The following is a 12641-nucleotide window of genomic DNA, read 5'->3' on the forward strand; positions in this document are numbered from 1 at the left end:
AGCTCATACTCAAAAGGAAGCAAATTAGAATCCACCTTTTAAAGGGAGGACTATCAAAGAATTTATGGACATGGTTTAAAACCACCACACCCTATCTATAAATTGAGGTGATAGATACCCCATAGAGTTGTTTTGAGAATTAAATAAGCTAATCCATGCAAAGCATCTATAATAAGGGCTGAGTAATAGTCCCTGTTGTAATGACAACTATTACCCATTTCAAACTTAATATGAGTCACTAATATCCTTGAATGTCAAAGATTCCTATAGAAAGGCAGTAAGTCAAATAAAACCTTCAAACTGAGTATTGTTTTCAAGCTATGCAGAAATTCTTGTTACTAATTAGGCTTTATTTTCAGCATTCATTTGGTATATTTTACTTCCATAATAATGTTTATTATTATTAAAGTCATACTTATTTAGTATCTACAGTGTGCTAGATATTATTCTTGTTGAACAAAATAGTGTCCTACCCTTATGGAGCTTATTCTTGTTGAACAAAACAGTGTCCTTATGGAGCTTACAGTACAGAGGAGACAGAATAAACCAAGAAAATAAAACACATATATACATAATTTTATTTCAGGTAGTGATGTGAAGTAGGAAGAAAAGTGAAGCAGGTAAAGCGACAGGAACTGAGATGGAGGGTGCCGGGGACAGGAAGGGGTGCTGGCTTAGATAAGGTGCTTAGGCAATACCTCACTAAGGTGGTGACATTGCAACAGAAATTTGAACAAAATGAAGGAGGACACAAATCAAATCAAAGGGCAGAGAATGTCAGAGAGAGAAAATAGCAAGGGCAAAGCCCTGAGGCTGGAGAAGCTGGGTGTGTTCAAGGTCCTGCAAATAAGCCAGTCTGGCTGAAACCAACTGAGCAAGAAGGAACATGGGAAGAGATAGAGAGCTAACCAAGGTCAGGGTAGGCCAAGGGAAAGAATTTGGATTCCTCCAAGTGACAAGAGAGGTCATCTGGGAGGCTTTGAGCAAAGGAATGATACGATCGCATCACTCAGCTCCTAGATAGAGGAATGGCATGAAGAAGGACAAGGGTGACGTGGGCCACCTTTGCAGAAGTCGCTGAGTGAAGTCCTAGTGATGGGGAATAAGGAGGAAGCTGTCAAGATGAAGAGATGTAGTTGGATTGAGGATATATAGGATAATACTTGAGACAAGAGGAAGGGAAAGGAATGCTAAATTTTTAGCCTGAGTATTCAGGTGAATGGAGGTGGTGCCATTTACTGAGCTGAGGACAATGGGTGAGTATTGCATTAGTAGGTGGTATCGGGGTGGGTGAAGGGAAATCAATAGTTCCATTTTAGGATAAGTTAACTTTGAGATGGGAATTCAATATCCAAGTAGAGTCAAGGAGGTATTAGATATGTGAGTCAGGAACTCAGCCGGACATTTATGTGGCTGGGCAGCATATCGATGACAATGAAAGGATACTTGCTATGATGACTGGTGGGATGAACGCAAGTCTGAAAGAGGAGAGGCCCTAGGACTGAGCCCTAGAGCAGGTTAGCATTCAAGGGTCAGGAAGAGGGTGAGGAAGAAGTGAAGGAGCCTGAGAAGGCGTGAGTGAGAGAGGGAACCAACACAATGTGCTGTCCCAGATTCAAGTGAAAGACAGCAGAATGAACCTTAAATGTTGGTGGAAGGTTGGGAAAGAAGAGAACTGGGATTTGGCAATGTGGAGATGGGTTTTGGTGGTACAGGAAAGTTCAAAGTTAGACTGAAGCAAGTTAAATAGAGCTTTGGCAGAGGAGAAGTGCAGATGGTGAGCACAGGTGACTCATTCAAGGCCTTTTGCTATAAAGAAGCAGAGAAGTGGGTCAGTAGGTTGAGGGGGGCGCCGGACGCAGGAATAGTTTTTAATATAGAAGCTATTGGCAGGGCGCGGCGGCTCATGCCTGTAATCCTAGCACTTTGGGAGGCCGAGGTGGGAGGATCACGAGGTCAAGAGATCGAGACCATCCTGGCTAACACAGTGAAAACCCGTTTCTACTAAAAATACAAAAAATTAGCCGGGCGTGGTGGTGGGCGCCTGTAGTCCCAGCTACTCGGGAGGCTGAGGCAGGAGAATGGAGTGAACCCGAGAGGCAGAGCTTGCAGTGAGCCAAGATTGTGCCACTGCACTCCAGCCTGGGTGACACAGCGAGACTCAAAAAAAAAAAGAAGTAGTTATTGCAGTATGTTTGTAAAATGATAGGCATGCAATAAATATGGGAAAATGGTTGTGCAATGAAAAGAGGAGAGAATTACAGGAACAGAGTCTTTGAAAATGCCAACAGAGAGGGGATGTAGAAGTCCAAAGTGGAGGAACTAGATTTAGGAGCACAGAGTCAATCTGTATTAGGTTGAATTCTGTCCCCGCAAAATTCATGTCCACCCAGAACTTCAGAACATGACCTTATTCGCAGATGTAATTAGTTAAGATGAGGTCATTAGGGCTAGACCCTCATCCAGTAACCAGTGTCCATATAAGAAGAGAAAACAGAGGCAGAGGCAGACAGAGAGAAGGCCATGTGAAGATGGACACAGAGACTGAAGTGATGCATCTGCCAAACAAGAAATGCCAAGGATTGCCAGCTACCACCAGAAGCTAGCAAGGGGCAAGGAAGGATTCTTCCCCGGAGCCCTGCCAACACCTTGATTTCAGATTTCTAGCCTCCAAAACTATGAGAGGATAAATTTTTATTAGTTTAAGCCACCACGTTTTGGTAATTTATTACAACAACTGCAGGAAACTCAAACACCATCCATTGGAAGAACAAGCATGGCTGCAGATAAAGTGGCCTGACAGATTGGAGCTCTCTTTCATTATTTCTGTATTCTCCATAAAATAAGCCATGCAGTCATCAGATGAAAGTGAGGAAAAAAGAGAATGTATCAGATAGGGGTATGTGATTTGCCTGAAACAATATTGATTTGACTGTTGTATCCCCCTACCCCGACACACACAAAAAAACTGTTGATAGAACCTCTTTCACTCCCAAAGGTATCCACATTTAGATAACATGTGAATGGTTTTTCTAGTGTTAGATGTTTCAGGACAGATTAAAAGATATGAAAAGTCAGTTCAAGAGAAGAGTGGGTTAACTAGGAAAATATAATGGCATTGCTGGAAGATGCTGAAGGCCCACTGGATATTTGTGGTCATAAGTTAAAGTTAGGCTAGTCAGAGCAGTCAGCATGCTTGTAATTTATCCATTCACAATCAGCTGTTCAGGGTCAGGCTGAAGGCGTTGGGGTGTTGGATTTAACCAACGGTGGGATTTGCCATATGAGGTCAATAGAAGGAGAGATGGGTAACAGAGTTAAGAGTGTTTGTAAGAAAGTTATTATAAATGATGGAATGATGGTTACCAATCTAGCTTAGCCTTCATAAGGAGGGATGTAATGACATGGGGTTTGGGGTGGAGGTGACTACAAACAAAACTGTCAGTCAATGGATTAGAACAAAGATTGTTAGAGTAGGGCCACAACAGCAATGAGAAGGACTCTTGAAATGGTGCTATCAGTAATGGCAGCTACCACTCATAAGCATCTGCCTGGGCCACCTGCTTTCCAAATGTGGCCATCTTTTGTTTCCCTTGGCTCTTTCTTGCCTCCCCCACTTACACTGTAAGGACCTGCTGCTGTCCCACCCCCCACCCCCATCCCTAGGATGGAGTCAGGATTAATGTTCAGAACTTTGAAGACCTCAAAGATAGAGAGTGAATTTGGGATAAGGACTGAGGGATGGAAAAGACCATGGATACTGGGGTTGGGAGAGGGACTGAGAAACAAGGGAGGGAGAGCAAAAAGGACAGACCTCCCAGAAACCCAACTGAGATTACCTTTGACCATAAATAAAAGGAAAAGGAAAGAAATGGGTTGCACTATTTATGGACTCCAGCAGTTTCTGGTAATGAAATGAATTTGCCATTCCTTCTAGGCATTGTAGGCAGAACTTAATGATTTCATGCATGTTGCATCATTTTATCATTTCAACAAGGTAAGAAACATTGGCTTCATTTTATAATGTAAGAAGAAAATTTCATGACCCCTGGGACATCCTGTGGAAAAGACAGGTAGAGCTTCTGTTGCCTTAAGTAGGCCCAGACTCTCTGTTGGCTACATGCTTGAGAAGAGTTCTTTCTTGCACATAGCCAACATGAAAGAGAAAAAATACTCAAGTTGTTGGCCTTGAGCCTTGACTAAGCAATAGTCAAGACAATAGACTTTGAAACCGTGGGGTGAGAAGTGGATGGAAGGTAGGAAGCAAGCAATATCAACTTTTAGTTGTTTGTGTTATAAGAAGAAAGAGCTTAGATTTAAGTTTGTGAGCTCAACGCTCCTTTGTCTAGGAAGACCAAAATGCAGTTTTTCTTTGTGCACAGTAAATCAATGACATTATTGTGAAATGCGTATGTGCCCATCGAGTGCCTAGCTGCTGTCTGTATTAGAGTTTCTCAACTTTTTGGTCTCCGGATCCACTGACACTCTTAAATATGATTACAAACTTTGAAGAGCTTGTATTTATTTGGGTTATATCTATGGATATTCAAGCTACTAACAATTAAACTGAAAAAATACATGAATACACATACATAAAAATAACACACAAGCACACATTCCATTGACTGTAAATGCAATAAAGTTATCTAGAGTTGCAGAGCTTCTAGAGAACTCCTCTATACACTGTGAGAGAATGGGCATGAAAAAGGCAAAAAGTCTTGGTATTACTATGAAAACAGTTTTGACCATACGGATTCCTGAAATTGCTTCAACAGCCCCAAGTTTGCCTGGACCACTCTTTGAGAACTGCAGGTCTAAAGAATCACAAAAAAGGCTGTCTGTGTTATGGGTAAAGTTGCATCTTTGCAGATGATATGAAAATGTTTCTTTTTTAAATAGAACGCATTGTTCCTACATCTTGGGAGGTGAGGGTGCATGTTCTCGTTCAAGAAGTGTCCTCAACCAGAGGAGCCCAGGAACACACAGGAAATGAAAGCATCATTCTTCACCACAAGCATTAGGAAGAATCTTAACGGAACATAATTAAAGGGTATTGGTGAAGTCCTATGGGGGAGGTTTTTTCTTCTTTCTCCTCCTTTTTTAAGTATTTTACCTTCTTTTTACAATGAAAAATTCCAAACCTATGCAAAAGTAGAGCAAATAATACAAGGAGTGTGCATGTACTTGTTACCCAGCTACAAGATCCACCAGCTCAAAGCCATTCTTATTTCATCTCTACTATCCTATTCCCTCACTACACACACTAGATTACTTTGAAGCAAGTCCTAGACATTATATCATCTCATCTGAAAGTGTCAATATGTATCTCTAAATAAGAATTGTTCTCTTAAATGTAACCACGACTCCATCATTACACCTAAATTCACACTAATTCCTTAATATTATCAAGTATTCAGTTGGTGTCCACATTTCTCATAAATACTTTTTGTTGTCTCATGCTTTTTGACAGTTGGTTTATACAAATCGGAATCTACACATCTATTCATAATATTTGTTTTCAATGTTTCTTAAACCTTTGTTAACCTTTAGGTACCTCATCCCAGCCAACTTTTTCTTGCAATTTATTTGTTAAAGAAGCTAGATTATTTGTCAGTGATGTCATTTAGCATGTTCTTCTCTACGGAGTATTTCCTATATACTGGTAGCTAGATTTAGAGGCTTGATCAGATTTGTGTTTGTTTCGGGGGCAAGTGGACTTTACAGCTGATGGTGTGTGCTTTCATCACAAGGCATATAATGTTTGCTTGCCTTCCTTTTTGTAATCTTTGCAGTCACTGATGATCCTTGCCTAGATTCACTATTTTAATACAAGTTGCAAAATCGTGATCATCTATTATTTCTTCGCTATTTACTAGCTGGATACATCTATGAAATCTCCCCTGATCAACTATCATTTCTCTGGGGTACACTTGTGCAGAGAAGGCTGGCCAAATGCTTTATTCTTTTCCTTTATCAGTTCTCCAAACGAGTTGGTTCTCTACCATCCTCCAAAGGATCGTGAGGGATTTGTTTTAGTGTAATTGTGAACTCATGAACTTTAGCACGTTTAATGTTTCACTACATTGCCATTGTTCCTCTTTTTTTTTTTTTTTAAGTTCCGGGGTACATGTGCAGGATGTGCAGGTTTGTTACATAGGTAAGTGTGTGCCATGGTGGTTTGCCGCCCCTATCAACCCATCACCTACGTATTAAGCCCAGCATGCATTAGCTACTTTTCCTGTTGATCTCTCCCCACCCCCGGCCTCCCCCAACAGGCCTCAGTGCATCTTGTTCCCCTCCCTGTGTGCATGTGTTCTCATTATTCAGCTCCCACTTACAAGTGAGAACATGAAGTGTTTGGCTTTCTGTTCCTGCATTAGTTTGCTGAGGAGTGGGAATATAAATTATTTCAACCACCGTGGAAGACAGTGTGGCAATTCCTCAAAGATTTAGAACCAGAAATACCATTTGACCCAGCAATCCCATTACTGGGTAGTATATACCCAAAGGAATATAAATCATTCTATTGTAAATACACATGCACGCATATGTTCATTGCAGCACTATTCACAATAGCAAAGACATGGAATCAACCCAAATGCCCATCAATGATAGACTGCGTAAAGAAAATATGGTACATACACATTATGGAATACTATGCAGCCATAAAAAGGAACAAGATCATGTCTTTTGCAGGGACATGGATATTCCTCTTCTTATTGCCCAAATTGCTCCTGCTTTGGGTAGCAGGAGCTCCTGAGCCTTTGATAGCATCCTTGCTTTCTAGTATAAGATACTCAGACTCATCTTGACCATTTCCTCCACCAGACTTAGGGTCTAACATTTCACCAATGATTCCTGGTTCCTTGTACTGAGAAATATTAAGATACCATGAAGCGAACACCAGGTTGTGGCTATGGGTTGATCATTGTTTCTAGTTGTTTCCAGTGGACAAAGCCCAAAATGTTTTGTAGTTCTTTTGGAACTTAGAGTATATCCCACAAAAGATGTCCAGTCAAATGACTGTTTTAAAGTCCCTTGAAACAACTTCATGCTTGGTTGCATCACCAACTCACTATGTGCTTAGATTCACTTGTTTTCATTTTGATTTTTAGGGATTACATTTTAACTGTTAATTTTTTAATTGTGTGAAACATTTACATGATTCCAAAATTAAATCGACAAACAAGGTATAGTTAGAGAAGTCTAGCTTCCTTCACTCCCCTTGTAGGTAACCATTCTATTTCATGGTTTTTTACTGAATTTTTAATATAAACCAATAAGCACATACATGTATATACCCCCTTTTCTTAGAAAAAAGTTGGCATGCTATGCAGTTTTCTCTACCTTGCTTTTTTCAGTAAGTAGTATATTCTAGAGATCATCCTTAACATTATTCAGAATTACTCTTCCTTCCAACAGCTGCATAATACCCCATGATGTGGCTGTATCATAGTTTATTCAACCAGTCCCCTGTTGATGGACAGCCTTTTACAATTACAAATAGTACTGCAATAATTAGCTTTATGCCTGTGTCTTTTTGAGTTTCTGCTAGCCTATAGGGGGACTTCAATTTTATGCTGAGTAATTTGACTGAAGAAAACGTACGGGTGCCTGATCGTTACAATCTGTTCGGAGAGAGTGTCCAAAAGAACACTGTGGGCAGGGCGTTAGGCTTATTTTTATTTCTGAGAAGTGTGGCCTCTGCAACTGTCAATCATCCTGGTGGGAACCAATCTGGGGATGACAAGTGAGAATTTGCAGAGGGGCGGGAACCTGAAGCTCCACCACGGAAAAGGGCATCAGAGGAAGCCACCAGCAAATAAATGAGGGTGAGCAGACTGTACCAGGGTCATCCCATCTAGGAAGTGGCCCTGGAAGTGCTGGCTGGGGACTCAGACAGAGGCACTTGAACCTGTGGACTCAGAGAATAACCCAGTTACTGGTTTTAATTTTCTCTGTGTTCAGTTTTTCTTGTTTTATGTCAAGAACTTTAGACAAGTTCTGTGAAATGTTACAGTCATATCTCAGTTGTGCTGTGGAAAATTCAGAGACAGCTGTGTATGTGCTTGGAATGTGGTAATAAAGCTGAGAGTGACCATGCCTCCTACCCACTGTCCCCAAGGCTGAGACTGGCAGTGACAGCAACTCAAGGGAACACTATGGCTGGCAATTCCAGGAGGCTGATCCTGTAGAGAAATCCTCATGGACAGAGAATGGTGCCATGGAATTAGGAGATGGTTCAGACTTGGGTCCTGTTGAATGCAGTCAGATATCCTGATGAAGGCAGGCCACAGAAAAGATGCGTAGATACGCGTTCTCAAGAGCACCTTCCTTCAAAGTAGGAAAAGACTATTGTATTAACTGGGGAAATAATAATGATTGAGTGATCGATAAACAGGCTACAAAACAAGGAGTCTGGTACACCATTTTCCTAATTAACCATTTATAAAATATAAAATAATTTCTGGAATATAAACAGATACATTTTCTTAGTCCATTTGGGCAGCTATAACAAAATACCATAGACTGGGTAAACTGTAAAAAACACAATTTATTTCTCAATGTTCTGGAGGCTGGGAAGTCCAAGATCAAGGCAGACTGACCTTTTTATAACCATTTTAGAGACTCATTTTCCCAATTAACCATTTATAAAATATAATTTCTGGAATTAAATAGACACATTGTCTTAGTCCATTTGGGCAGCTATAACAAAATACCATAGACTGGGTAAACTGTAAACAACATCATTTATTTCTCAAAGTTCGGGAGGCTGGGAAGTCCAAGATCAAGGCAGATTGTACTGGGGAGGGCTCATTTTCTGGTTCACAGATGACACCTTCTCTCTGCATCCTGGAATGATGGAGAGGCAAGACAGCTCTCTGGGGGGCCTCCTTTATAAGCGCACTCATCCCATTCATGAGGGCTCTACCCTGGTGACCTAATCATCTCCCAAAGGTGCCTCTCTTAAAACCATCACACTGGTGCTTAGGGTTCAATGTAAAAATTTGCAGAGGGGAAACAAACATTCAGACCTCAGCACACATCAAAGTGAAAATGACAGCAATCAAGTAAGAATGGGTAACGGAATCATAAGTAATTACATTTCCTTTGTCTTTTTCTGTGTTTTTTTAAAGTTTCTCTATTGAGTACACACTTATTTTGAAATTAAAGTGCTATTTTGAAATAATTTTTAAAATACTCTCAGAAAAAAACTGAAAACAGCATTAACAGGAAATATAGAAATGAAATACACATGGGCAATGAACTTACGAAATAGGCTATTCAAACACACTTGTAATAAAAGAAATTCAGTATAAAACAACACTGAAATGTCATTTTAATCAATTATTTTTAAAAATTATTTCAATATATAGTGTTGCTAAGGATGTAGAGAAAATGGCTCATATACAATTTTGGAAGGAAGCTAAATTACTGCTTTCTTTTCTGAAAGGAAATTTGGAATTGTTTATCATACTCCTTGAAATATTCCTACTCTAGGGCCCAGTAACTTAACTTCCACAAAATAGTCTAACTAAAAATATCAGATATGTGCATAATGACTTATGTTTTAAAGTATTTATTATAGTTATTTTTAATACCAAAAAACATCAAAACTCAAGTGTTCAAAACTAAAGGTTAATATTCTGCAGGCAATTAAAATCATGACCTTTAAGAAAAATAGTTAATGACATGGTGGTAAAGTTCCTTATATCTTGTTGAGTAGAAATAGCAGATTACAAAGCAGTATGTCTAGTATCACCACAGTTTTATTTATAGAATTGTGTGCATATGTGTAAAGATGTTAGCAGTGATTGAGTCTAGAAAGAGATTTGGGTTTTCTACCCTAGACATTGTTGAATTTTCCAAATGTTCTGCAACGAACCTTTAATACATACACACTTAAAACATAGATATATTTATAGCATTCGAACATAATGTTATTTAAACATATAAAAACAATGTTTTTTAATTTTTTTTTCTAGACAGAGTCTTGATCTGTCTTATTCCACCCTGACATGCTAAGCATTTGGTTGTTTTTGTTTTTGTTTTTGTTTTGAGACGAAGTCTCACTCTGTCCCCGAGGCTGGAGTGCAGTGGTGTGATCTTGGCTCACTCCAACCTCCGCCTCCTGGGTTCAAGCTATTCTCCTGCCTCAGTCTCCCGAGTAGCTGAGATTATAGGCACACTCCTCCATGCCTGGCTAATTGTTGTATTTTTAGTAGAGAGAGGGTTTTACCATGTTGGTCAAGCTGGTCTCGAACTCCTGACCTCGTGACCCGCCCGCCTCAGCCTCCCAAAATGCTGGGATTACAGGAGTGAACCACCGCCCCTGGCCGGAAATGTGTTTTAAAAGCAAGATTCTGGAAAAGCAGTCTACAGAGAAGTGATGGGAGGAGGCTAGAACAATCCATGTGGTAATGGACTGGAGCTGGAGATGTCAGTGTGAACATATTCCACTTAATATAGATACAGATAGTTATGTATAAAAATATGTATATATATGCAGGTAGGTATATACACATTTCCTTATTCTGTCAACTGAGAGGGTCTAGAAGTAACAACACCCCAGTAGCATTGAGGAAACCCACTGCCCAGATCCGGATTTCTAATACTGTTCTCCAGTAAAAAGAACCAGAGTGTTTTTGCTTTAGAGGAATGGCTGATTCCAGGACTAGGATGGGAAATATCCAAGATGAGCCTGGAACATCTTATGATTCCAGAAAATAAGGAAGTGCTCAAAAATAAATAAACCCACAGCGATGGGGGCATGTCAAAGGAGCCAACTGAAAATGCTGCCAGTGGCCGAAGCTGGGACAATTTGAGTCAAAATAAATGAAGTAGTATTGGATTAAATTCAAAGTATAAAATAAATATTTATGATTCAATAGTGAAATAACTAAATAAGAAAATGGTTGAGAATAGACCATTTTCCTGTGCAGGAGAATTCCAAGTAATGTATATAGATGCTCCCGCCTCAAGGAGATTGAGCATAAATTCCCACTCCTTAAGAATGGGATGCACATAGTGACTTCCTTCCAACGAGTACAGTATGGAAAGGGTGAGGGGGTAAGCAGTGATAACCTTACTTTAGAGAAACCTGACAAACACTACCTTAGCCAGGTGATCAACACCAACAGCAACAGTGACAAATCATGTGAACAGCATGTACCCTTGTTATGACATGATAAAAATGATATTTCTCTCAAAAACCCATAATCCCAGTCAAATCATGAGGAAAACATCAGACAAATCTCAGCCAAAGGGCATTCTGCAAAATATACAACCAGTACTCCTCGGAACTGTCAAGGGTATCAAAAACAAGGGAAGTCGGAGAAACTGTCACAACTAAGAGGAATATAAGGAGACATGTCAATCAAATGTAATGTGGGATCCTGGATGGGATCCTGGGACAGAAAAAAGAATATTGATAAAAATTAAGGTAATCTGAAGAAAATACAGACTTTAGTTAATGATAATGTATCAATGTTGGTCACCAATTATGACAAATGTGCCCTATTAATGTATTGTATTAATAATAGGGAAAACTGAGCAATATATGGATCTCTCTCTATTACCTTTGCAAATGTTCTGTAAATCAAAAAATATTCTAAGAAATAACATTGTTTTTAAACCAAGGTTCTTAAACAACAACAAAAAAACAATAAAAGCATTTTCATAAATTGACTCTTCAGAATAGGTGGAAGACCATTAAAGGCCAAGTTATCTCTGGAAAAAAGTTTATTTTATTGATCTAAATTAACAGTATAGCTAAAAATACATATTAAGAAGAAGAATATTTTTCTCTTAAGAGTGAATTATTACACTTTTCTGAATGTATAATTATCTACAAAGCTGTAATTTCAATATTCTTTAGCACAAGGTAAGTGGGAAAATAAGGAATTTAATCTGAGAAAAGACACACCTACTAAATAATAAGAAAGTCAGGAACAGCCTACCTCTAAAGATAAGCTACTCCAAAATCTAGAAGAAAAATTTCAAAACCTAGCTGAGATTCTCAAAAAAGAACAAAAAATAATAAGCTTTTCTAATACTAGAGAGTCATAAGATTGAGATGAATAGGCAACAGAAAGATTTTTTTTTTAATGTGAATGACAGAAAAGATTTCAAGGAAACTTTAAATGCTGTAGTAAAATTAAAATCAACATTGTAAGGCTGGGCGTGGTGGTTTACACCTGTAATCCCAGCACTTTGGGAGGCCAAGACAGGCAGATTGCTTGAGGCCAGAAATTCAAGACCAGCCTGGCAAACATGGTGAAACCCCGTCTCTACTAAAAACAAAAAAACTAGCCAGGCATGGTGGTGCATACCTGTAACCCCAGCTACTCAGGAGGCTGAGGCAGAAGAATCACTTTAATCTGGGAGACAGAGGTTGCAGTGAGCTGAAATTGTGCCACTGCACTCTGGCTTGGGAGACAGAGTGAGACCCTGTCTCAAAAAAAAAAAAACAAAAAAACCAACATTGTAGACAATTGACAGTACATGACGTGGACAGTAAACTTCAGAATACTCCCTTTCCCCTTGCCCCTCAGAATTTAGCATAAAAAGACAAAGATTTTAAGATGAAGAAGGAAGGTATGATAATTATGGAAAATGGAGATTAGAGAACAAAGATAAGA

The sequence above is a fragment of the Homo sapiens genome, chromosome 16 (assembly GCF_000001405.40).
Source record: "Homo sapiens chromosome 16, GRCh38.p14 Primary Assembly".
NCBI classification, from domain to species: Eukaryota; Metazoa; Chordata; class Mammalia; order Primates; family Hominidae; genus Homo; species Homo sapiens.